The sequence below is a fragment of the Homo sapiens genome, chromosome 16 (assembly GCF_000001405.40).
Source record: "Homo sapiens chromosome 16, GRCh38.p14 Primary Assembly".
Taxonomy (NCBI): Eukaryota; Metazoa; Chordata; class Mammalia; order Primates; family Hominidae; genus Homo; species Homo sapiens.
Genome location: NC_000016.10, coordinates 48,331,140 through 48,358,062, shown reverse-complemented (window position 1 = coordinate 48,358,062; position 26,923 = coordinate 48,331,140). Strand labels below are relative to the sequence as shown.

Sequence of the window (26,923 nt, the reverse complement as noted above, 5' to 3'; positions counted from 1 at the left end):
CTCTTGTCCTGAAATTGCTTGTTATAACGAAGACTTCCTCCATTTCTTATTTTTGGTGTCTTTCAGGAGGCTGTACATGGGGTAGGTATGGGAGATACTTATTAACTTTGTTCTATTGCTTTTATACCCTTAAACTTGAAATTGTCCTATTTAATCATGGGCCAGTTTGGTGTGTTAATTTTTGGGGAACAGTTTTTCCTTTGTGAGTAATTTTTATTGTAATATGTATGATTTTAAGACCCACCTTTCTGCAAACTTCAAACGTATGTAAGTGGCTGTAGATAGCTTAGCTCACCAAAATAATAGTGTGCTGCCTCCAACCCCCAAAAGCTCTTCATATTTAGAAACATCTGCAGTGATTCTACTAATGGTAGAATTCTATTTCATTCACACTCCTGATTAGAAGAATTGGTAAGTAATCCAAATTAAGAAAATAATGGATCAAATCCAACATACCTGGGGGGTCAGTCTGTGACTGCTGCATTAGAATGGACATAAAAGTAATGTCGAAACTCGACAGGGTGAATAGTGTGTGTGAACTACCACGCAGGACTGTGGTATTTGTGTAGGTTAAACATGAAAGGTACAGATAGAGTGTTACAGAGACCCGGAGTTTGAAGCTTTGTCATTCCCCTCCCCACTCATCCAGTGTGCATGTTCAAAGCACAAAGGAGTATTTGGTAGTTTACTGCTTATGATCCTAACCTGAATTTACCAAAAGAAACGTACGTTTATCTAAAAATGGCACCATCCAAACAAAATTCCTTATCAAGCATCTACTAAGATTTGGTGGCAAACAGTGTGGGTTGTAGATTCTAACTGCCTGGGTTGACTTCTGACTCTGTATCTACCAGTTTTTATTTAAATACCTTCTCTGCCTGGTCCCTCCTCCACAAAAGGGTATGATGTCCACTGCGTAAGGGAATGAGGAAGGCTAGATGTGCTATAAAGTGCTTATTATGCCTGACTTGATACCCCAGTGTCTTGCTGAACCAAATATTTTCGCTATCCTTATATAGCTCTAGAAACTTGACAAAGAAATACACTTTATTATCATAGATGTAATTTTCTTAGGCCTTTCTGAATTCTGAAAATAATAACAGGTTTACAGATATAAATAATGGAGCAAAAGGACACCTGGTTTTGGGGTCACATTTTGACAGGCTTGCACTGTCATGTCAGGATGAGGATTTAGCCTCAAGAGTTTGTATTGCCTAGAAATGTGCTGACAGTGTCATTAAGTACAAACTACAGTATTTCCAAAGAAATGAATTTTCATGACAAAGCTTTTCCTAAAATTGTTTTAGAAGTCCTTTTGCTGTAACTTTTAAAACATCTCAATGACCACTCACCATATTTGCCTGTTGTCTATTCAGACCTTTTTGATATTTCCTTCCTCTTTCAGCATTTTTGTTTTTTAAGTGCAGTTTTCATTGTGGTATCCACCAAATGTTTGTAAAACAAACAAAAAAAATGAGCATTAGTGTTGGACCATAAATCATCAAATTGGATAATGACTAACTGTAGTCTTTTTTTTTTTTTTTTTTTTTAGCTGCTGGATACAATTTTCATGGCAATAGGAACTGAAGTACTTCAAATAATGTGAGCTTAAACATGTTACTTCATTGAAACAACCAAAACTACTTGATGTTTACATCTAAAATCCTGGTTAAAATAAATTTTAGATTTGGAAAGGGAATTGGCAAAACTAACATTCTTTGTAGCAAAATGTCCCTTAGTAATAGTCAAGTTGACCTCATTTCAGTAGTTCATAAAGGAAAATCCAAAGCCCTCAGCAGTGAATTACCTGGCCACATAGCTGATTTTGGTCACTGTGAATGCAGACCAATCACCTAGTACTGGAAGCTCACAGTGGTAGACATCACTATCACAGTACTTTACGGTCATGGATTTCTCGTGAACTATTTCAGGAACAATCACAAAGATGACATTCTTCACTGTATTTGCATTTGTAACCACCAAGCAAGTAAGGATCTCTGCCCCAGATGCATGGTTTGAGGTAAGGTTCACAGGGACCACTAAAGGGGCAGAGCCAAGTAAAAACATGGATGTCTCCAGTGGACAGTGTAGGATTTCTTGATAAGCAAAGCACCTAAAGCTTTTAGTTTTAATACTTGAGAAGTTTTAAAAACCCATGCATAAAACGTGGAATACCGGTAAAATACACATATCCCTAAGTCTAGTTTAAACTAAAATTTCTAGAGTTAATAATTTTCAATAAAAAAATCCAGCTTATTTTGATACAAGGGGTCTTTGGGTAACATCTTAAAAATCAATGCTAGAAAATGCTCAACATCACTAGTCATTAGGGACATAGAATCAAAATACGTCACACCCATTTGGAGGGCTATTATAAAAAACCCAGAAAATGAGTGCTGGCAAGGATGTGGAGAAACTGGAACATTTGTGCATTGCTGGAAGGAATGTCAAATGGTGCAGCTGCGGTGGAAAAGTTTGGCAGTTCTCAAAAAGTTAAACAGAATTATCCTGTTGTCTTAGTCATTTGTGTTAACCGTAACAGAATACCTGAGACTGGGTAATTTAAAAGTACGAATTTATTTCTCATAGTTGTGAAGACTGAGAAGCCCACGATCAGCGTGCTGGCAGACTGGTATCATCTATTGAGGGCCCAGTCTCAGCTTCTAGGACGGGGCCTGTTGCTGTGTCCTCATATGGTGGAAGGGAATCGAAGGGCAAAAAGGAGGTAATTGGTTCCCTTGAGCCCCTTTATAAAGGCACTAAATCCATTAATGAGGATGGAGCTCTCATGACATAATCACCTCCTAAAGCCTCACCTATCACGTTGGTGGTTGCTTCAACATACGAATTTGGTGGGGGGACATTCAGACCTTAGCATATGTGATCTAGTAGTTCTGCTCCTGGATATGTATCCCTAAAGGACCTAAGAAGGGACTTCAAGAGAGATGTGTACACCCATGTTCATAGCATTACTCATAATACCCAAGAGGGGGAAACAATCAGCAGATGAGTGGATAAACCAAATGCGGTCTATGGATATAGTGGTGTATTATTTGGCCATAAAAATTTCTGGTACTTGCTACCACATGGCTTTTTCCCAGGGAAAGTATTAGTTTTTGTTTGACAAAACACCTTGATAGGTCATGGTTCTGCAAGGCAGAGATGTGAAACAAAGAAAGCTAACTGTTGCAAATAATAAAAAGTTGGAGTTCCTTTGAGCTAAAGCTAAAGTGGCAAAGGAGGAAGAGGTTCATCCCTACCCTTCTGCACCCCATTATTTTGAAGAAAAAGAGTGGCCTGACCCTCCAGATCTTTCTTTTCTGGAGGACACTGGGCGAAAAGTAGTTGCCCCAGTGACTGTTCGAGCAGTTGATGGCTTGCTAAGTAAGAATGCTAAACACAAAAGGACAACTCTTGTTTGATCCCACTCATATGAAGGGAAATTCAGAAAGAAAGTGAAATAGTGGTTACCAGGGTCTGGGGTGAGGGTGGAATTTGGAGCTCTTTTTCAGTGGGTACAGAGTTTCAGTTTGTGGTGATAAAAAATGCATGTAAGCCGGGTGTGGTGGCTCACGCCTGTAATGCCAGCATTTTGGGAGGCCAAGGTGGCCGGATCATTTGAGGTTGGGAGTTTGAGACCAGCCTGGCCAACATGGTGAAACCCTGTCTCTACTAAAAAATACAAAAATTAGCTGGGCGTGGTGGCACACACCTGTGGTCCCAGCTACTTGGGAGGCTGAGGCATGAGAATTGCTTGAACTGGGGAGGCAGAGGTTGCAGTGAGCCGAGATCATGCCACTGCAGTGCAGCCTGGGTAACAGAGCAAGACTCCATCTCAAAAAAAAAAAAAAAAAAAAAAAAAAAAAGCGTGTAGAGTGGACATGCTTAGATCCAGTAACTGATACCCCCAAATTATATGCTTAAAAATGGTTAAAATTTTGGCTCTTCCCCACCCGCCCCACCCCTAACCCCCCACCCCCCCCAAAAAAAAAAAACCCAGGTGAAAAAGGAAGAGCTTAGACTTCAACCAACCAACCTCCCACCCCTGGAATTAAAAAAAAAACAAAACAAACCAAAAACAAAGCTAGTGCAATGGTCATACTGTTCCATGTCATACACAGCAAGGGGAGAATGCATTATTCTCTCAATGGATGCCTTTCGAAAGATATGCTTAAAGCAAGTGCCCTCCTGCTGCTACAAAGTGCAAGGCTGCCTGTGTCAGGACTAAAGGAAGAATACCGAGAACCCCAAGTTATATCCTTGTTGCCCCTGCTGGGTGGAACAGGGCAGAGCGATGTGGGTGTGGATTAGCGCCCTCTGGTTGCTGAAAGTGAATTCACAGTTTGTTCTAGTCCCCAGTTAGATGACGTTGGAAATGATAAAATTACAGTAGTTAAGATAGTCAATGGCATATTTTCAAACATCCCGATGTTCTTTCTCTCCAACTGCCATAACTAGTCCTAGGTCTGGACTTTTCCTCTCAATGCATTCAGATAAACTTTTATCAGCAGGCCTGCTATTTTATCACAGTATTTTGGCCCAATCTTTTTTTTTTTTTTTTTTTTTGAGACAGGGTCTCACTCTGTCGCCCAGGGTGCTGGAGTGCAGTGGCGTGATCTTGGCTCACTGCAGCCCCGACCTCCCTCATCCTCCCATCTCAGCCTCAAGTAGCTGGACTACAGGCGGGTGCCACCATGCCCAGCTAATTTTTGTATTTTTTGTAGAAATGGGGTTTTGCCATGTTGCCCAGGCTGGCCTTGAACTCCTGAGCTTAAGTGATCCACTCGCCTCGATTTCCTAAAGTGCTAGGGTTACAGGCGTGAGCCACCATGCCCAGCCCAGACTTCCTTCTCATCCAGGAAATTCCAAAATGTCTTTACATACATATTCTTATATTGTGTAATAAAAGATTCTGAAGTCCATTACTGGCTAGAATAATAACTAGAAATTGCTTAATATTACTATACATTGCATTTGAACTTAATCTCCACAGTAACAATTAGGTAGTATTACTTGGATTTCATGGATGAAGAAAACCAAGATACAAAAAGTTCACACAGCCAGTAAGCAGATGAGCCTGACTTCATAGTCATACATAGCCTGAATTGAGTCCCAGCAGGAGCACATGGGCATGGACATCTACCAGATTTGGGAACTGGCGTAGCCAAGCAAGAAATAGGAGACGGAATCAGGAGTTAGGATTCCATGCTTAGGACCATCCCAGATGGATGGCTGCCTCCCTCTGGGAGCTGCACTCTTCTGAGGTTGCAGGCATCCAGGGCCAGGGTGCTTCTGTGAGGTGTGCCAGCACGTGCCACTCTGCTGGATACAAGCTATCATGTTCTGAGGGCTGCTTCCCTCAGCATAAGAAGGGGCTTCTATTGGGATGTGTAGGCTTCATTGTAGGGTCCACTTGAGTCTTTTTTTTTTAGAGACAGTCTCGCTCTGTCAGCCAGGCTGGAGTGCAATGGCGCGATCCCAGCTCACTGCAACCTCCACCTCCTGGGTTCAGGCAATTCTTGTGCCTCAGCTTCCCAAGAAGCTGGGATTACAGGCACATGCTAACACGCCTGTATATTTTTTGTAGAGACAGAGTTTCGCCGTTGGCCAGGATTGTCTTGAACTCTTGGGCTCGGTGATCTGCCTACCTCGACCTCCCAAAGTGCTGGAATTACAGGTGTGAGCCATCACGCCCGGCCCACTTGAATATATATATATAGCCAAGAATAGTTGGCTATACTTTCATCTTTGCCTAGTTCTAAGTAATTGATTGGTTTCAGGATCCAATAAACTCTACAGGTAAATCCACTAAGGTAATGGTCTATACCGGTGGTTCCTGAACTTGAGTGTGCAGCAGAATTACCTGGAAGGCTTCTTAAAACACAGATTTCTGTCCCCACCTCCCAGGATTTGATTCAGGCGGCCTGCTGTGGAGCCTGAGAATGTACATTTCTAACAAGTTACCAGGTACTACAGATGCTTCTGTTCTGGAGACTGTGCTGAGAACCACTATGCTATATCTTTCCAGGGACAGTAAGGATCCCACTAAAAAGACAAGAATTCGATTTTTATCAGTTTACTAAATCAACATCTTATATTTCTATACTAAACACTAGCCACTACTTGAGGTTTATTACTGTTGTGATTATGTTTATAAAACAGGGACATCTTGCATACCCCTAATGGTGTGAATAAAATCAACTGTGTCAGTACCTTTGAGCACTTCATAACTTAAAATTCTAAAAAATTGAGATTTGGACCTACAGTTTGCTATTTAACAGACCAGGTCTGGTCTTGACAGTAAAGCCACCATCAAAAGCTGCATTAAGAACCTCATCCAGGCAGCTTGCTGTGACAAAACTTAAATCCTGTCGTACGTTGCCTGGGATTCCCTCAAGGTCTTTTTCATTTCTCCGAGGAATAATGACTTGCTTCAGTCCCGCTCTGTGTGCCGCCAGCACTTTGTCTTTAATTCCACCCACCTGTAAGGAGAGAAAAAAGTTTTTAGGGTTAATGATCACCCTCAAGCTGAAAGAAACCCTGACCCAGCTTTCTTTCACTGAATTTAACCACTACTATTTTAAAACATCCAAATCATCTTCCGTTTTGTTATAGCATGAGCTAGGAAAGCCAGGAAAAAGGATAAGTAGTAACCTTTTTTTAATGTTTCAATTGGTGTTATATTAAAGACTCTGATGAGGGGGATTCTAAATTGTTGATAGGTATGAGTTCCTCTTCTGTCAATGATTGTTTTTATAAATGCTGTCAAAGTAAATTGGCATTCAGGTGTAATCACAACCGTCTAGTCTTTAGGTTGATCTGAAAAAGCAGCACGTGATTCTGACCATGAGCGCCGCTCCTGCAGAGCTTAGCTGTGTGCTGGGGTTACTTCCCTCTCTACAGGTTTAAAGCCAGAACCTCCATGCTGGTTAATGAAGAAAATGTATCCCTAAACTAGGCTCCTATGGTGGCTTTCAAACATGTCTACAATGGTCCCCCTGCTTGAATGTGGGCCAGGCTTTGTGACTCGGTAAGAAACAGAGTGTGGTGGGAGTGATGCTGTATGATCTCCACGGCTGAGTCACAAAAAACGAGAGCTGCTGCCTGAATCTCTCTTGATCACCTGCCCTGGAGGTGGCCAGTCATAATGTCTGAGGTCACTCAAGCAGCCTATGGGCAAGTCCATCAGGTGAGGAACTGGGGCCTCCTGCCACTAGATGGGACCAATTTGCCAGTCACATGAGTCAACCACCATGGAAGCAGTTTCTCCAGCCTGTCAGCCTTCATGTGACTGCAGCCTGGCTGGAACCTAGACTGTAAGGCCAGAGACCCTGGGCCACAAGAACCCAGCTCAGCCTCTCCTGAATTCCTGGCCCACAGGAACTTGAAGAGTATGGAGTATTCTTGCTTTGGGGTAATGTGTTGCATCTGCTCCAATTAAGACTGGCTGGCTGCTCCAGGCCTTCCCGCCCCACTGGCATCTTCTTTCAAGGTTTTGTTCATGCTGCTGAAGTACTCCTTCAAAGTACCTTCTTCAAAAGAGTGTAAGATGAACTGATTCCTTGCATGTTTGAAAATATTTTACTTTCACACTTGATTGATACTAAGGCCATGTATACAAGACTAGATGTAAAACATTTTCCCTCACAGCTTTCATTACTATTTTTTTTTTTTTTGAGACAGTCTTACTCTGTCACCCAAGCTAGAGTGCAGTGGCACAATCTTGGCTCACTGCAACTTTCTGCCTCCCAGGTTCAAGCGATTCTCCTGCCTCAGCCTCCTGAGTAGCTGGGATTACAGGCATGCGCCACCACATCCGGATAATTTTTTTGTATTTTTAGTAGAGACAGGGTTTCACCATGTTGGCCAGGCTGGTCTCAAACTCCTAACCTCAAGTGATACGCCCACCTTGGCCTCCCAAAGTGTTGGAGTTACAGGCGTGAGCCACCACACCCAGCCTCCTTACTATTTTTAAAACAATTTTTGTAGAGATATATTTCCCAGGCTGGTCTTGAACTCCTGGACTTGAGCTATCCTCCTGTTTAGCCTCCCAAAGTGCTGGGATTACAGACGTCAGCTGCCACGCCTGGCCCATTTTCCCTCATAGTTTTGAAGGTACTGCACATCCAGTGTCAGTGCTGAGGCCGCTTTATCCTCAGTAATCTGAAAAGTCAAGGGGATGAAATGTTTTTCCTGGTTAGTAATGGTCCTTTCGATCTCAAGATGCCTTAACTTCTAGGAAATGTTCAGTTATTTCTTGGATAATTTGTTCCATTCCATTTTCCTGTTTGTTAGAACTCCTTTTAGATGTTGGAGTTCTAACAACAAATTGTTTTTCACTATAGTTTTTTCCTGAATAATTCTTTGACCACTTTCAAATCCCAAAGCCCCGTCTTGTCCTCTGTTCTCAAAGGAGGTTTTCTCCAGCTTTCACAGGCCTTTCTTTCAAGTGCTGCTGCTTTCCATCCTGCCTCTTGTAATGGTCTGGAGCTGAAGGTGTACCCCAGGCCGCTGTGGCTGTCTCTCCTGAGGCTGCAGAAGCCTTTACTTGGGCTACGATTTGCTCTGAGAGGGGACCAAGTAGAAAACCCATTTGTTCTATGGAGGTTCTAAAAATAGAAAAAATTATCCGGGCGTGGTGGCGCATGCTTGTAATCCCAGCTAGTTGAGAGACTGAGGCAGGAGAATCACTTCAACTTGGGAGGCAGAGGTTGCAGTGAGCCAAGATTGTGCCACTGTACTCCAACCTGGGTAAGAGAGCCGGACTCCATCTCGATAGAAAAAAGAAAAAAAGACTATTTCTTTTTTTTTTTCCTCATCTTGCTATGAACCTGCCAAAATCTTGTTGTGGACTAAAATTGTAGTCTAGTCTGTTGTAGACTAATACTCAACTAACAACTTTAAATACTCTCAAGTTCTGTACATTTTATCACACTATTTTTATAAGCAGTTTAGGATCTGGAGCCTCAAGACCCCACATGTATAGAACCTTTTCAAAATGTAGTCATTAGATATGGTTAATCTTTATTAGAGTTTCCATTCTATACTAGCAAAGTTTTCTGCAGGGGGACAGGAGGTCTCAAAGAAACTTCAAATTTAAGAAATGGGCTTAAAGCTTAAAAACAACTACTATCCCATTTTGCACATGTGCTATATCTTTAACAATTTGTCAAGTAGAACAAGGCCTCAAATTTTCATGTAACTGCCAATATTTCTGATGACCACACTAATATTTTTTTCCCTTAGCAAATCTTAGAATGGGAAACGTGGGCTGAATGTGGTGGCTCACGCCTGTAATCCCAGCACTTTGGGAGGTGGAGATGAGAGGACTGCATGAGACCTGGAGTTTGAGACAAGCCTGGACAACACAGAGAGACCCTGTCTCTACGCAAAATAAAATAAATTAGCTGAGCATGGTGGCGTGCTCCTATAGTCCCAGCTATTCGGGAGATAGACAGGAGGATCGCTTGAGCCCAGGACTTGGTGGCTATAGTGAGCTACAGTCACACCACTGCACTCCAGCCTGGGCAACAGAGTGAGACCTGTCTATTTCAAAAAAAAAAAAAAAAAAAAAAGGAAAATGTGAAAAATTGTCAGTTTTTCTTTTATTTGATCAAAATTTTAAAATATGAATTAGTTACAGGCATAAAAATATAATATATACTTAAAACCAAGGTTTTCATAGAAAGAAGGCAAACCCGTATTTAAAAATAATATTAATTTTCAAAAATTAAATAAAAAATAACCATATAAATTGTTTTTTCATACTTACTGGAAGAACAAGACCTCTCAGTGTAATTTCTCCAGTCATGGCTACATCTGAACGTACCAGCCGCCCACTAAAAAGTGAGGCGAGACAGGTTACTATGGTAACTCCAGCAGATGGTCCATCTTTTGTGACAGCTCCAGCTGGGAAGTGCAGATGGATGTCTGTGTTGTCAAGAAGATCAAAACTTCCAAAAGCTTTAAAAAGGAAAAAGGGACTTTAATGTAGAAAAATTAAACCTGTTTTCTTTTTCTCCTAAAAAAAAAGTCACAAACAAAAATGAATGTTTTGGGTAAATGAATTCTTCAAAATATTGGTGGACAGTACAATTTGGGTGAGGGTGTGGAAGAACAGTTCCATTCTACTCTAAGTCGTATTAAAACAAAATAAACCTTTTGAATTAGTTTCTAGTTCAGGCACTAGTCAAATAGTCCTGAAATGGGAACTAGGATTTCCACAGGGGTTCAAAACGGTGTGTACTTTGCTAGATGTGTAACTGGCAGTCTCGAGCTCATGCCAGTCTCCGCCATGGAAGGTACCGCCTCCTGGGTCACGCCTGCCTGGCCGGGTGCAGGCTCCTACCATTGGTCAGCTGGTACTTCTTTGCGTTGCTGCGGAGCCAGCTGATAGCGAGGTGGGCGGACTCCTTCATCACGTCCCCGAGCTGGCCGGTCAGAGTTAACTGGCCCTCGCCATCCATTCGACTCGCCTCCACGAACATGATTTCTCCACCTAAGGGAGTCCAAGCCAAACCTATTGCTACTCCTGGCTGACTCAAACGCTGAGATACCTTGAAAGAAGAAGAATGATCAGAGTTGGGTTGGCAAATGCTAAAGGTGACTGATACCACACAATCCTGCAAGAGTCGGCTGACTCCACAGAAGACTTCAGCCACTTACCTCAAAGTCCTTGTTACCTAACATGATTCTGCGTCACATTCAGCACTTACTCTCTGGCTTTCTGCCAGAAGAAAGACCTAAACTTCCTCTTTGACATTTATCAGAGGCAATTTTACCTTAAAATATATGTAAATAACTTTGCTTTTTATGAGCCAGATCTAGCTACACATGCCCTAGTTTTCAAGGAATAAACCCAATAGTTTTATCTAAGTATCTTTATTGGGCTGCAAATATATATATATTTTGAGACAGTCTCACTCCATTGCCCAGGCTTGAAGTACAGTGACACAATTTCAGCTCACTGAAAACTCTGCCTCCTGGCTTCAAGTGATTCTCCTGCCTCTGCCTCCCAAGTGGCTGGTACTATGGGCGCACACAGGCCACCACACCCGCTAATTTTTGTATTTTTTGTAGAGATGTGGTCTCACCATGTTGGCCAGACTGGTCTCAAACTCCTGACCTCAAGTGATCTGCCTGCCTCAGCCTCCCAAAGTGCTGGGATTACAGGTGTGAGCCACCACACCCAGCCTATTGGGCTGCATATTTATATATACTTCATAACCTAGCTTCATTTTAGGTAATCATGAATTTGTTTCAAAAAGTAGAAACCCTCTTACTAGCAGACCTTTAAGAAGAGTGAGCTTGGCCATGCAGAGTGGCTCATGCCTGTAATCCTAGCACTTTGGGAGGCTGAGACGACAGGATCGCTTGAGCCCAGGAGTTCGATAGAGACCAGTGTGGGCAACATGGTGAGACCCTCTTATTTTTTTTGAAAAGAAAAGTGAGAAGGGTTATATTAGAAACTCTAGATTTTACTTCTCCACCGCTTACCTTTAACTTTCTCTATTACTGCTGCAGAGACTATACAATACTACATAATAAACATCCTGGGTTCCTTCCCATGGGATGAGAGAGGTCCACTGTACTGCCTGCCATCTTAAATTGAACATGTTGTCACCTGAGACTAGGAGCATAGTTGATGGGCCATAGGTTAACACATCCAAGTTATGAAAACACTAAAAAGTAACAGTGGAAAATCAGTAATGTTAACTCTCATTACACCCTTTGAGCTTCAAAATTTCCTATCCAATAGAAGTTACTCATGTTAGAGGAACTGAACACAATAGGTCAACTAAGCACTAATCCAAACAGGAGATTTTTCTACTGAGAGTTGACCGTCTCACTAAGGAACAGCACTATACAGCTTGACTTTCTGGGTATGGGGCTGGGTTGCTTCTTTTTCTAAGGGGCTTGGACAATGAAATTCCTGATTGTAAAAATTATTCCAAAATTATGTGGCATCCATTGAAGCTATTGGGCACTTCTTTTCCTCTTTTTTTTTTTTTTTTTTTTGAGACATGAGTCTCACTCTGTCGCCTGGGCTGGAGTGCAATGGCACAATCTTGGCTCAATGCAACCTCCGCCTCCTGGGTTCAAGCAGTTCTCCTGCCTCAGGCTCCGAGTAGCTGGGATTACAGGCATGTATCACCACACCCAGCTAATTTTTGTATTTTTAATAGAGACAGTGTTTCGCCATGTTGGCCAGGCTGGTCTCAAACTCCTGACTTCAGGTGATCTGCCAGCCTCGGCCTCCCAAAGTGCTGGGATTACAGGCGTGAGCCTCTGCGTCTGGCCGAGCACTTATTTTCAGTAGTAAACATACATTAAAAAAAATTAATCCTAATTAACTTCATTTAACAGGTTAGAGATTTGAGAGGCCAAACTCCAGCATCAAGCTGACAGCATGTACCTCAGGTCACACTTTCCTCGAGCTTTGCCACTTGCCCTGTTCTATACTAACTTGAGGCGAAAGACACAAACGATCTATATGTAAGAGATCAGTACTACTTAAGGAAAATCATGAAACAGTTATTTATAAAACTGTTTACAAGGTTTGTTTTTTCTAATATAAAATCAATTCTCTATACCTGAATGACATACATCTAATTTGTGTGGGAATCTGTCACCCAAATTAGACTTCATTCAGGCTCCTTTCTAGGGTTGGGTGAATGAATCGTGTTTAACACAAAAAGTCATTTGGTACAATTTTGTTAACTCTACCAAGAATAATCCCTTTCTTATATTTGAATCCTCACAATTCATTTGTCAAAATAATACCAAAAGTATCCCCGAAGAAGCAGTAGTAAGATTCTTCTTGTTTTTGTTTTTTGTTTTTTTGAGACAGAGTCTCGCTCTGTAGCTCAGGCTGGAGTGCAGAGGCATGATCTCAGCTCACTGCAACCTCTGCCTCCTGGTTCAAGCAATTCTCTTGCCTCAGCCTCCCAAGTAGCTGGGATTACAGGTGTGTGCCACCATGCCCGGCTAATTTTTGTATTTTTAATAGAGACGGGTTTCACCATGTTGGCCAGGCTGGTCTCGAATTCCTGACCTCAAGTGATCTGCCTCCTCAGCCTCCCAAAGTGTTGGGATTACAGACATTAGCGACCGCGCCCAGCCAGATTGTTGTTTTGTTTGTTTTGAGACAGAGTCTCACTCTGTCACCCAGGCTGGAGTGCAGTGGTGCAATCTTGGCTCACTGCAACTGCCTCCTGGGCTCAGGTGATCTCCCACCTCAGCTCCCCAGCAGCTGGGACTACAGGCACCCACGACCATACCCAGCTAATTTTTGTATTTTTTTGTAGAGATGGGGTTTCACGATGTCGCCCAGGCTGGTCTTGAACTCCTGGGCTTGAGCGATCTTCCCATCTTTCCATCTTGGCCTCCTAAAGTGCTGGGACTGCAGGCATGAGCCACCATGCCCAGCCAAGATTCTTATTGATTACCATGTTGCTTCAAGAAGCCAAGCCAGTTTCCAATATTCCCCATTTGCTGGAGTCTTGGTACTTTGGGTAGAAGCAACTGGTAAATTGTTAATTGGAACAGTTGGTGGTGTAGATAACCACGTATGGCCAAACCTAGAGCATCTAGGCTCACAATTACTATCCTGACTTGATAACAAGTGTTCTGATATTAACCTGAAAATGGGAATAATGCCAAATCTGTGTAACTTAACATCTATATACACAGTGGGGAGAACTGAAGTTATTAAACCTGGAATCTCTGTGATCAAGGCTAACAGTAGTTATCTAAGAAGCAAAGGACCTACAATTCTTAGACTTGGAGTCATATTCTTTAAGGACGTGTTCTGAAACTATATCAAGCATCTGGTTTCCACGTATTTCTCCCTCAGAAATTATGAAGTACAAGTAAAAATGAAGGTACAGGGTAAGACACATGCTGCTTTCTTGCTCTTGAGTGGAGACAGTTTTCCAGCCATCTTAACCCCTTTACACAAAACAATTTGTGTTTTATAGCAAATAAGTGACTCAACATAATTTCAATATGATGTTTATCCACCAGTACTTTCCTTTCAGCTTCTAGTCCCATAAATGGTTTGTGAAGTCATCGGTTACATTAGCCAAGATAGGCCTAGACTTGAAGTCTAGAATGTTTTTCCCACTATATGCCAAAGTAGAATGTGGGTATCTCAGGGTCATTTTTGTTGTTCAATTTCCCACCTGTACAGTTGTTATGATTCACTTTCCTTATGTGTCTAATAAATCTTGTTCCATGAAATGATCAATTTCTTCTGAAATCTATCAATAAGGTAAATATGCAGATTAAGGAAGTATTTAAAATATTTAAGTAAAAATCTAAAACAGAATGTGTCTTCTAATGTATGATTGCATTCTTTTTTTTTTTAGACTGAGTTTCGCTCGTCACCCAGGCTGGAGTGCAATGGCACGATCTGGGCTCACTGCAACCTCCACCTCCTGGGTTCAAGCAATTCTCCTGCCTCAGCCTCCCAAGTAGCTGGGACTACAGGTGTGCGTCACCATGCCCGGCTAATTTTTGTATTTTTAGTAGAGACGGGGGTTTCACAATCTTGGCCAGGCTGGTCTCGAACTCCTGACCTCATGATCCACCTGCCTCAGCCTCCCAAAGTGCTGGGATTACAGGTGTGAGCTGCTGTGCCCGGCTGATTGCATTCTTAATACATCAATGCTATTAGTTTTTAAAGAACATTTGGAGTATCTAATTATTGCCAATTTCACACTACTCTTCCCTCTTAACTAAAAATAGTGATATTTGATTGAAATTGTAAGCATGCACAACTCTTTGTGACCCTTCCAATCCTAGATCAACACGTATAGACCCATCAGAGGGACCCATATTTGACATTCATTCAACAGTCCTTTACCAAGCATCCTGATGCAGGCTCTGTTACAGGCCATGGGGACATAAGCATGAATACCTCCTGGCACTGAGACTAAGGGCATCAGACACAGGAGCAGTTATACTCCAGTGTGGGGAGCTCTGAAGAGGCAAGCGTCCCTCCCTGTTTGGAGAGAAGACACAGGTGTCACAGGAGAGGCTGAGTCTTAAAATATGAGTGGGAGTTTGCCAGCAGATGTCAAGGAATGGAGATATGAAGAATTTTGTAGGCCTTCTTTCCAAGGACAAGCACGGTGCCACATGAGACACAGAACCTGAGCTGTCAAATTGCTGTGGTGTGCAGGTTGCTCTGTAGTGGTGTTCACACCATCAACTGGTTTCTTTTGTAGCTCATAGAGCACTTGAATGCTCCTGCCAGGGCTGTCACCACAGAAGCGATCCATCTGGCAACTTCTTTAAAGTCTTAGTACTGAGATCCCAAGTCTTGAATTCATGAATATTTGATTTTTCTAGTTGTAGATTTGTTTCAGTAGCATTCAGAAATGGGAAAAGCAGATTCTACATCCCTTGGAGAGGTGTTGGGGTCCACCACTGTCATCTCTTAAGCAGCATTAAGCAGCCCCAGCCTGGCCTGATGCTTGCATTGCTGAGAACCAGCTGCTCTCCAATCCTTCCAGTAGGGCCTTTTCTTGGCACAACGGATTCCTGTTGGGGCCTTGGACCAGACTGAACATGCAGCATCAGTGCTGCCTTCAACAGGTGGCACAGCAGGTTTATATGGAGCAACATGGAGAAGTAATTTACTACCATGATTCTTTGAGGCATTTAGTTGGTGTTTACACTCTTTCTCAGTTCTAGCAGCTAATTTTGTTTGCTTGAAAGGCAAGCATGATGACAGAATCTCCTGGAATTCGCTTCTGGATGCATTCTATTCAGGAGGCTTTAAAGTGTCTTCATGTCTATCCTCTTCTTCCTTTATTATTTTCTCAGGGCAGTAACCTTTAGACAAGGGCTTTTCATACACCATGGTCAGAAGCCAACACTGAGGCTTTTATATGAGGTGGGGGACTACCTCATGAAAACATGAGTCAGGAATAATCAAATGACAGAATCCTGTCCCCAACCAGGTATATTGGTCCTTTGTCCCTTTGGAGGTGCCTAATGTCCGTTCCTTTTGCTAAAACTAGCCTGATTTCCGGCAGTGACCTACTCTTTCCATGCAGGCTCCCTGAAGCAGAAAACTCAGGATTCTGTCTCCCAGTGACAGAGTGAAAGGGCACAGCCAGTGACTGAGGAGGTGCCTAGGCCCACCTACTCGCATGGCCCCTCCTCGGATTCGGGGCAGTTCTGAGTCTTGCCGTGATAGCACATGCAGTGTGAGCTATGCCTAGGCTTCCTGGGGACACCTGCACCCACTCCTGCTCCTCCCCACTTTTTTTGTAGTAACCTTTATTTTTATTTTTAAAACATGCACTTAATTGATATTGTTTCTGTAGGAAACTTTATGTATTTTGAAAAGGTGACCTATGATACTGTTCCTAAATCTGAAATCTAGGCTAAGTTCCTAGAACCCATTTGATATGGTTTGGATCTGTGTCTCCACCAAATCTCATGTTGAACTATAATCCTCAGTGCTGGAGGTGGGGCCTGGTGGGAGGTGACTGGATCACGGAGGGAAATTTCTCATGAATGGTTTAGCCCCATCCCCTTGGTACTGTCGTCCTCGCAATAGTGAGTGAGTTCTTGTGGGAGGTGGTTGTTTAAAAGCATGTGGCCACCTCCCCTCCTGCACTCTTGCTCCTGCTCTGGCCACATGACATGCCGGCTCCCCCTTCACTTTCTGCCAAGGCTGTAAGTTTCCTGAGGCCTCCCCAGAAGCTGATGCTGGACCTATTTATTTATTTATTTATTTATTTATTTTTGAGATGGAGTCTCACTCTGTGTCCCAAGCTGGAGTGCAGTGGCACGATCTCAGCTCATTGCAACCTCCGCCTCCTGGGTTCAAGTGATTCTTCTGCCTCGGCCTCTCGAGTAGCTGAGACTACAGGTGTGCGCCACCACGCCCAGCTAATTTTGTATTTTTAGTAGAGACAGGGTTTCACCATATTGGCCAGGCTGGTCTCGAAATCCTGACCTCATGATCCGCCTGCCCTTGGCCTCCCAAAGTGCTGGGATTACAGGTGTGAGCCAATGCACCTGGCCTAATGCTGGAGCTATGCTTCCTTTAGAACCTTCAGAACCGTGAGCCAATTAAACCTCTTTTCTTTATAAATTACCCAGTCTCAGGTGGTTCTTTGTTTTTTTTGAGACAGAGTTTTCACTCTGTCACTTAGGCTAGAGTGCAATGGTGTGATCACAGCTCACTGCAGCCTCAACCTTCTGGGCTCAGGTGGATCCCACCTCAGCCTTCCGGGTAATATTTTGTATTTTTTGTAGAGACCAGGTCTCACTTTGCTGCCCAGGTTGGTCTCGAACTCAAGCGATCCGCCCACCTTGGCCTCCCAAAGCGCTGGGATTTACAGGCGTGAGCCACTGTGCCTGGTTTCAGGTATTTCTTTATAGGAATGCAAGAATGAACTAATCCATCATTTTTCAATCTGTTTAGGGAATACAAAAGATATTATTAATTAATAAAAGTGTGCCTTCTTACCTTACTTCCCAACTGCCAGTTTGCTAGGTCAGTAATATTTTTTGACATTAATATATTTTTGTAGATTCATCTTCGATGAAAGTAAAAAAATAGTAAGTGGTGGTATAAGGTTATTAAATATGTACAAAATTTGGATTAGAAAAACAATGGGGATTTTTTGGTGATTGGGGGTAGGTCTCTGTTTTTAGGGAGTATGGTAGTTGCAGAAATTAGTATTTGTTTTTTCTTTTTTAGTATTACTGGGCAATGCAGTGGGTACACTGACTCACCAAATTTGAACTCTGTGATAACGTGCACATGCTTACCACCATTTATCAGAGGAAGACATCAAGCTCAAAGAGACTAAGTTTAAAATTTAGTCAGTAAGAGGCTGCCTTGCAACTTTCAGGCCTTATTCTTCTACCCTTCTGAGCCCCTGCTTATGGCAGCTGGCTTTACCATCCTGACTCTCTCTTCACTGTCTCTGACATTCAGGAAGATTCTAAACTCTGCTCCTTCCTTTCTGCCCCAGCCCCTGCTATCACCCTGGGTGTCTTCAGTGAAGGCATGATGCTCTCCCAGAACCTGGCTTCTCAGTTCTTTAAATGCCTCCTGAACTCAGCCACCCTCTTCCAGGTACTTATCACCAACAGAAACCATGCTACCTCTGAAACCCCTGACCATCATTTCTTATCCTTCTAGCTCGCCTGTACTCAAGCCATGAACTCCAGCACATTCCCATCATACAGCAGCTCTGCCCTAACTTCACTCCTCTCTTGTGCAGCTCACACACGTTAGCCCCATCATTATAATCTTTTCCTTATAAATAACTCAATATTCTTGTCCCTTTCTACATAATATCCTGCAAAAGGTATCCCTTCTCCCAACAAAAGCCATTTCCTCACTGGTGCTTTGGGTCCCACCCCCTCTCACTTTCCTGGAGACTTTGTTTCTATCGTACCACTGCTCTGTCCTGCAACATCAGTCTGTGCTCTCTACTGGATTACTCTCAGCAGCAGCTACTATTTTGAAAACATTCTCCCTTTGACATCCATATTCTCTTCTAGCTGCCTCATTTCTCTGCAATTGTTTACAGCCAAACTTCTAAAGAGCTGCCTACACACTAATTCTACTTCCTCGCCTCCCATTCTCTCTTCAACATACTCCAATTTCTACCATCCCCACCACTCCTTCCTTGTGAAATCTCTTTCAAGGTCACCAACAACCTTCATGCCATCAAATCCAATACACATTTGTTCTGACCTTGATCTTCTTTTGATCTCTCAAACAGTAAACACATTTTGATGTCCCCTCTTTCTTGAAATACTCTCCTCTTCTGTCTCTATGGCAGCACAACATCCTGGTTTTCCTCTTCCCTGAAGGCTTGTTCCTTCCCAGTCCCTTTCTGTTTTTCCCGACTTCTTTGTTGGCTCCTCTTCTCTCTATATGATCCCTAAATAATGCTGTTCTTCAGGGCTTGCTTCTAGACTACCTGCTTTTTAAAAATGTATCCTTTTTTCTTAGGTGATGTGAAAGCCTCAATATCTGGGGCTCTAAATATCCTCTATTTTCTAATAATTCTAAAATCTCCATCTTGGGTATTTCCTCTGAGCAATAGATCTGAATGTCCAAATGTCTCTACTTCTATGCCTCACAGATATTTCTAACTTTTATTTTATTTTTTTGAGACAGGGTCTTGTTCTGTCACCCAGGCTGGAATGCAGTGGCGTGATCTTGGCTCATTGCAACCTCCGTCTCCCAGGCTCAAGTGATCCTCCCACCTCAGCCTCCCAAGTAGTTGTGACTACAGGCATAAGCCACCACACCCAGCTAATTTTTGTATTTTTTGTAGAGAAGGGATTTTGCCGTGTCGCCCAGGCTGGTCTTGAACTCCCAGACTCAAGCAATCCACCTGCCTCAGCCTCCCAAAGTGCTGGGATTACAGGCATGAGCCACCGCGCCCAGCCTGGATATTTCAACTGTAATGTGTTCAAAAGAGCTCTCAGTTTTCTTTGCAACACTCTCTCCTCATCTCCCTCCCCAAGTCTTCCCCATCTCAGTAAACAGCACTACTACACATGCCCTGTCACTCTGGCCAGAAACCTGTAAGTCCCTTTTGATAACTGTTTCCTTCATTCCCCAAATGTTTCCCATCAGCATGTCTACTTCTACCTCTAAAACAGACCTCAGATATAGCTAGAGTAGTTACTGTCTATCTCAGTACCACCCTGTTTGTTTTCTCTATAGCATCAACTTCAATTTGTGATTATTTGTTTACTTGTCTATTGTTTTCCTGCATTAAAGTGGGATCCATGAAGGCAGACATCATACCTTGCTTGTTTACTACTGTGTTGCCAGAAGCACATGTTAGGTCCTTAATAGGTATTTATTAAATGAATCAAACTCTTTCTAGAAGAAACCACAGACCCTAGACTGTAATTTACCCTAAGGGAGAATACAGGCATTTAGACAAAAAAAAGGTATCGGCTGGGTTTGGTGGCTCATGCCTATAATTCCAGCACTTTGGGAGGCTGAGGCAGGTGGATGGCTTGAGCTCAGGAGTTTGAGACCAGTCTGGGACAACATGGTGAAACCCCATCTCTACAAAAAAATACAGAGAAAATTAGCTGGGTATGGTAGCACACGCCTGTGGTCCCAGCTACTCAGGAGGCTGAAGTGGGAGCCCAGGAGGTGGAGGTTGCAGTGAGCTATGATCATGCCACTGCAATCCAGCCTAGGTGACAGAGTGAGACCTCATCTCAAAAAGTAAAAACAAACAAATGAAAGGTATCTTATAACATCTTGGGAACACCTCAACATGTATTCCAGTATTCCTAGTATAACCTCTCTCTTCAGATTCTTTGCCTAGGAAAGCACAAAGAAGTAGAGAAATAAGACTGGCCACTTGTGAGGTGCAAAGAACAGACGCCCTGCTCAGGTCCACCTGTGAGCTCTCTGCAATGAACAGAGGCCCTGCTCAGGTTGCCTGTGATGTTTTTCTAGAGTAATAAACAGCACTAGGTTTGGAGTTGGTCAGGTCTAGAACCAAATCTCATTTCTGGCATAAGTTGTGTCTTCTCTCAAGTTATTTAAATACTCTAAGCCTGTTTCCTCAACTGTTATTGGAAAGACAACCATGACTGAGGATTAAATGATCACTGTGGAGGGCCTTACACAGTGCCTGATAGCCAAGAGATACAAAAATGGGAGTGGTCAACAAGTTGAGCCCAGCCTCTCCCATTCCAAAACAGAGCAACAGAGTTGGTAAGAATATGAATGAGAATCTGATGTAGAGCAGATGCCTTTTTAAAAAACTCTCATACATCACTGCCACTCTCTTCTAGCAGACAAGGGCAGGAATTATTTTGGCCTGACAGGGTACTGTAGAAAGGTAGAAAGAATAATGGACTTGGAATAAGCTGATCTGAGTCTGAATCCTAACTCTACCAACTGCCACTTACGTGAATTTGTACAATTCATTTAATCTCTTCAAACTTTTTCCCTTGTATGTAAAATGGAATTACACTCCTAGCACAGTGACAGCCCTCACGGACAAGAAAGAAATGTTCCATAAATCTTAATTTTATAGATGCAAAAGCAGAGGTAGACTGTGTGGTTAAGTAATTTGGGGCTGGTGGTCATCAGACCACTACAGGTAGAGACACCCGGCTACAGGGTGAGTTCTCACTTTCAAGTATGAAAAAAATGAACACAATGTTCCCAACACTCAAAACACGATGTCAGGCCTCTGAGCCCAAGCTAAGCCATCATATCCCCTGTGACCTGCATGTATACATCCAGATGGCCTGAAGCAAGTGAAGAATCACAAAAGAAGTGAAAATGGTTGGTTCCTGCCTTAACTGATGACATTCCACCATTGTGATTTGTTTCTGTCCCACCTTAACTGAGCGATTAACCTAGTGAAATTCCTTCTCCTGGCTCAGAAGCTCCCCAACTGAGCACCTTGTGACCCCCGCCCCTGCCAGCAAGAGAACAACCCCCTTTGACTGTAATTTTCCACTACCCACCCAAATCCTATGAAACGGCCCCACCCCTATCTCCCTTTGCTGACTCTCTTTTCGGACTCAGCTCACCTGTACCCAGGTGAAATAACAGCCTTGTTGCTCACACAAAGCCTGTTTGGTGGTCTCTCCGCACGCACGCATGTGACACACCACATCTTCCATTCTAAGATGCTATCTATAAAAGACAAAATGGCTACTGGAGTCTTTCTGCAGACTCATGTTGGTAAAAGTGTTACTATGTTAAAGCTCACATGCTACAAGGAAAATAAGGTTCTCCCATGCTAACAAGGATAACTGGTAAGCAGTGTTTATAAAATTTCTCATTTCTGTTCTCTTGGCTCTTTCTTTGCTAATGCTCCAGGAATGTCAGCAATGCTTCCAAACTTAACATCAGCAGAAATGGCTGGGAGAGAGGGGTATATGCAACAGAGACATGCATTAATCTTTTGTCTTTATTTGCTGCTCTAGTTTAAATCCTCAAAGAACTGTTGGAATGTACTTTTCTGGTAAGCCTACAGAAAAAGGTCATCGGCCATGCAGGAGTCAAAACCTGTTTGCGTCTTCACTCACAATGTCACTGGATCCTCCCAGAACGAGAAAGCAGGTTTTGTTCACTTTCTCAATCAACAATGTTTTGCTCAAGTTCTTTCAACACTTCAAAATTCAAATCCATGATATCTTAAGAATTCAAATAATCAAAACAATGCTTCTGATTCTATTGTTCAAGTCCAGATTTACTGTCAAGAGTAAACAAGTTCTATTCTTGTAACTGAGAGCTCTGTAGAGAGGCTCATTAGCTTTAATGACCAGTTTAGAGTTTAAATGGATAAACAAGACAGGCTTGGGGGCTATTTCTCATCTGCTCAGTTGTAAGAACTTGAGGAAAACCATATCTACTGGTAATGATTTCAAATGTTAGATGGAGAGATTATCTTCTACATAGTTTATCAGATTTATTTTCTGAAAATATTTTTTCCTTAAACTGATAAGGAGGTGATGATAAAGCTAAATTCAGTAGTATAATACAAACATTTTTATAGTAACCAACCTATGAAAGCTCATCTAAGCACCTATAAATTATTTCACAATGCCCTTAGCAGTTATAGTCTAACATCTATTTCCATCAGCTGCTTCAACTCGGTCTTGGCACCCAGGCCTTCTGCTGTGAGGTACAGTTAGGAGAGAAAGATGAAAATAGGGCTAGACCTGCATGTGGGTTTAACCCTAAAGGAACTATTAACAATGGAACAATAGGTTCCTGAAAGATGTCATCTGGGTCTGCACTAGCACAGTCTGAAGCTAAGCTATGCTCATGTTTTCAGACCTGTATCAGGTTGATTCCCCGCCTCTTCCCCCAAGCCCTTGATAGCACAAAGAAATCCCTCCTTAAAGTACACATAAGAATATGTAATTTTTCTAAGAAGAAGAGTCAGAGGCATTGTCCTTAAAATGGAACTGAATGGTAGAGAATAAAATGAGACTGGGGTTCTAAAAGAGGATATGGCTGGGATCTCTGGCTCCTGGCAAGTCATATTATCACAATAAGCACTAAAACACAATACCATATAGAAATAAAGTTTCCATCTTAAGGCAAAATTCAGCCTCTGGAAACATCCAATTTTACTTCTCTGTTAAGCAACCACCTGAGTACACCAGTGAGTACCAACAAAAAAATGAGAATGGAGTGAGACTGGCCAAGCTGCAGACGCTGAGATGTGGATCTTTGTGAAGACCCTCACAGGCCAGACCATCACCCTTGAGGTCGAGCCCAGTGATGCCACTGAGAATGTCAAAGCCAAAATTCAAGACAGGTAGGGCATCTTACCTGACCAGCAGTGTCTGATATTTGAGGGCAAACAGCTGAAGGATGGCCACACACTCTTAGACTACAACATCCAGAAAGAGTCCACCCTGCGCCTGATGCTGTGCCTGTGAGGTGGCATTACGGAGCCTTCCCTCTGCCACCTTGCCCAGAAATACAACTGCAAGAAGATGATGTGCCACAAGAGCTGTGCTCGCCTGCGCCCCCATGCAGTCAACTGCTGCAAGAAGTGCGGCCACACCAACAACCTGCGTCCCAAAAAGAAGGTCGAATAAGGCTATTCCTTCCCCAAAGGGCAGCCTCCTGCCCAGGCCCTACGGCCCTGGGGCCTCAATAAAGTGTTCCTTTCATTGACTGGAGCAAAAAGAAATAAAAAGAATGAATCACCTCCATTTCATACATCGGGGGCCCAAGGATGTCTTTCAGAGCATGGAAATCAATCAAAATCGGCATTTCAGGTGGTAGAGCCAAGTCAGTAGTGTCACTGATAGATTCAGGTTTTTCATCTTCTAAGATGTGTTCTCTGCAACCTAAAAGAAAAAAAAATGTATTTAGAAGTTCTAAGAGATTTGCAGGCTGGAAAATTCACTAGCAGTAAATATCAAACAAAAGCCCAGTGGACCTCAAAAGTTCAGTCACTTTTATGCATTTATCAAGGCAAACATTCACCTGTGTATCTGTGGAATGCAGGTGAAATAATTTGTGTTTCAAGAGCTCACCGAGGGTGGTATTTGCAATTGCCTTGTTCAATTACTTTTACTTGCTTATTGTCTATCTCCCCCATTAAAGTGTAAGTTCCAGAAGGGAAACAACTTTGCCTGTCCTTTTTGACCATTATATTCTTAAGTCAAGAACAATTCCCGGCACTATTCAACTTTATGGCCTATAGCTAGGACAAAGACTGAAGGGCTAAGCGCAGTAGGTTACTTTGGATTCTCTGATCTAACAATTCTCTGTTATATCAGCATAACTCAGGGCTTGTGACAAACTTTTCAATTCCCTCTTCAGAGGAGTCTGATCAGGTATCCCCTCCCCTCCCCTCCTCTTCTCTCTCTCTCTCTCTTTCTCTCTCTCCCCCCAACACTTTTTTTTTTTTTTGAGATGGTGTCTAGTGCACTGGTGTGAACACAGCTCACTGCTGCCTTGACCTCCTGGGCTCAAGCGATCCTCACTCGCTTGGCCTCCCAAAGTGCTGGGATTACAGGCATGAGTTGCTGCACCCAGCCAGGTGTCCTGTTTTCTAACGGGCAATGTAAACCTGGACATGATAGAACCCATATAAGCAGTGCCTCTTTTATAAGCATATAGCTTAACTCTAAGGTTATCATTTTCCAATAAATAAATATAATTGGCAGTGCCAGGGTAAGAGAATACAAAGCCTGGTTTGAAATCCCTGTAATAATGGGCCATCTCCTTTACCTGCCTATAAGCCCTGGATGGCTGATATCTTGTCCAAATATTGACTCATTTTGGTTTGGACCTAGACATACAAGGAGCAGGACCCAATTGACTTATCGGACCATCTTCTGTATCAATCTTTGTAATTCCAGTTCAAGTAACGAAAAATATTACGTAATCTGTGGCCAGAAACCCAAAATGGGGAGTAGAGGTTTTAAAACTGCAGGAAATACTTGGCTGTATTCGATCTCATTCCTAGCTTTTTCTTTTAGTTTGCCGTAATTGTTCTAACTTCTTGTCTCATGAAGTGTTTTGTTTTAAAATCTTTCATTACCTTTTTTTAACACACTATTCCTTCTGAAAGTGATTGCTTCGTATATTAATACACACATATAATAATTATGCAGTTATCTAACATTGTCTATCTATCTATATTTTTTGAGACAGAGTCTCGCTCTGTCACCCAAGCTGCAGTGCAGTGGTGCAATCTCGGCTCACTGCAACCTCTGCCTCCTGGGTTCAAGCGATTCTCCTGCCTCAGCCTCCAGAGTAGCTGGGATTACTGGTGCACAACACCATGCCCGGCTAATGTTTGTGTGTGTGTGTATGTGTATATATATGTAATTTTTTTTTTTTTGAGATGGAGTCTCGCTGTGTCACCCAGGCGGGCGTGTAGTGCCACAATCATGGCTCACTGCAACCTCCACCTCCTGGGTTCAAGCGATTCTCCTGGCTCAACCTCCCTGTAGCTGGGACTACAGGCATGTGCCACCATGCCCAGCTAAATTTTGCATTTTTAGTAGAGATGGGGTTTCAGCATGTTGGCCAGGCTGGTCTCGAACTCCTGACCTCAGGTGATCCGCCCACCTCAGCCTCCCAAACTGCTGGGATTACAGGTGTGAGCCACTGAGCCTGGCCTAATGTTTGTATTTTTAGTAGAGACGGGGTTTCACCATGTTGACCAGGCTGGTCTTGAACTCCTGACCTCAAGTGATCTGGCTGCCTCAGCTTCCCATAGTGTTGGGATTACAGGTGTGAGCCACCACGTCCAGCAATATATCTACATATATTTATTTTAGTTTCGCTATGGTTCTTCCATTTTTTCCACTAACTCCTTTCCTTTCAAAAGTGATTACAGAGTATGTTTAATACTAGTAGACCCTTATTTTATTTTTATATTTTCTTGGACCTCACAGGGATGAACCTAACTTTAAATTCTAACAATAACTGGAGACATCCTGAGTGTCACTAAATGATACCACTGTGAACTTCTGGGTGAGGGATTCTCCCACTCTCCTCTCCTGTTGGGCTCTAGTGGGCTCCTCTTCAGGACTGAAACCATGAATGACACAGGAAGGAAAACACAACAGTTCAGATTTTCTGCCAATGAATGGCTATTTAACAGCAAATTATGTTGAACAAAGCATTAAACCTCTCACTACCTCTCTCTGCAGAATTGCTGTGAGAATTAAAAATAAAATCCTGGCCAGGCGTGGTGGCTCACGCCTGTAATCCCAGCACTTTGGGAGGCCGAGGCGCGTGGATCACGAGGTCAGGAGATCGAGACCATCCTGGCTAACACAGTGAAACCCCGTCTCTACTAAAAATACAAAAAATTAGCTGGGCGTGGTGGTGGGTGCCTGTAGTCCCAGCTACTCGGGAGGCTGAGGCAGGAGAATGGCGTGAACCCGGGAGGCAGAGCTTGCAGTGAGCGGAGATCGCGCCACTGCACTCCAGCCTGGGCGACACAGTGAGACTCCGTCTCAAAAAAAAAAAAAAAAGAAAATCCTTTGGAGACGGCAAAGAGCAATGCACTATTTATCACATATGTAAGTCTTGAGTTATATATATTCTCATAATTGTACCTCTGTAACATCACTTGATATTTCAAGGTTTGGCCTGACCAAGTCCTAGGGACAGCTTCCCTGATCTTTCTGACTTCTTTTATAGCATTCATTTGCTTCACAAAATCTAGCAATTCTGAGTTAGTCAGCAGCTTGTGGAAATGGGAGATTTTCTGCTTGCTGCTCTTTTTCCGGTATATTCCAAGCAGTATCAATGATCAAAGATGGGAAAGCACTCACCTGATAAGTTTAGCTACATGCAGATCTCAGAGTGGAAAAGAAAGTAGGTGTCATTGCTTAATTAAAATTAATGCACAGAAGAAAAGCACTACCTGTCTAAGGTTACTACACTATAGATGGAAGG

At 42.9% G+C, this 26,923-nt stretch overlaps 1 protein-coding gene and 1 pseudogene across 7 annotated transcripts in view, besides 1 other annotated feature; one reads left to right on the top strand and one right to left on the bottom strand.

Moving 5' to 3' along the window:
• LONP2 (lon peptidase 2, peroxisomal) overlaps positions 1-26,923 on the bottom strand; it is a 118,704-nt gene that overhangs the window by 4,941 nt on the left and 86,840 nt on the right. For 2 of the 7 annotated variants that reach the window (NM_001348078.2, XM_047434738.1), the window contains exons 12-16: positions 23,705-23,847; positions 10,349-10,556; positions 9,773-9,963; positions 6,265-6,482; positions 1,353-1,398 (exon numbers count right to left, since the gene is read on the bottom strand). In NM_001348078.2, coding sequence (NP_001335007.1) covers positions 1,353-1,398; positions 6,265-6,482; positions 9,773-9,963; positions 10,349-10,556; positions 23,705-23,847 — 806 coding nt within the window. Of the gene's footprint in view, positions 1-713; positions 6,483-9,772; positions 9,964-10,348; positions 10,557-11,151; positions 17,439-21,537; positions 21,671-23,704; positions 23,848-26,923 lie in introns of those variants that run through there. The other 5 variants (NM_031490.5, NM_001300948.3, XM_047434737.1 and 2 more) reach the window with 4 other exon arrangements.
• Positions 21,063-21,564: an enhancer, noted in NCBI's record as "NANOG hESC enhancer chr16:48370410-48370911 (GRCh37/hg19 assembly coordinates)". NCBI's record gives its function as "activates a minimal SCP1, AML or CMV promoter by ChIP-STARR-seq in primed H9 embryonic stem cells {active_cell/tissue: H9 hESC(primed)}" and the evidence as "EXISTENCE:reporter gene assay evidence [ECO:0000049][PMID:30033119]".
• On the top strand, positions 23,179-23,679 carry UBA52P8 (ubiquitin A-52 residue ribosomal protein fusion product 1 pseudogene 8; annotated as a pseudogene).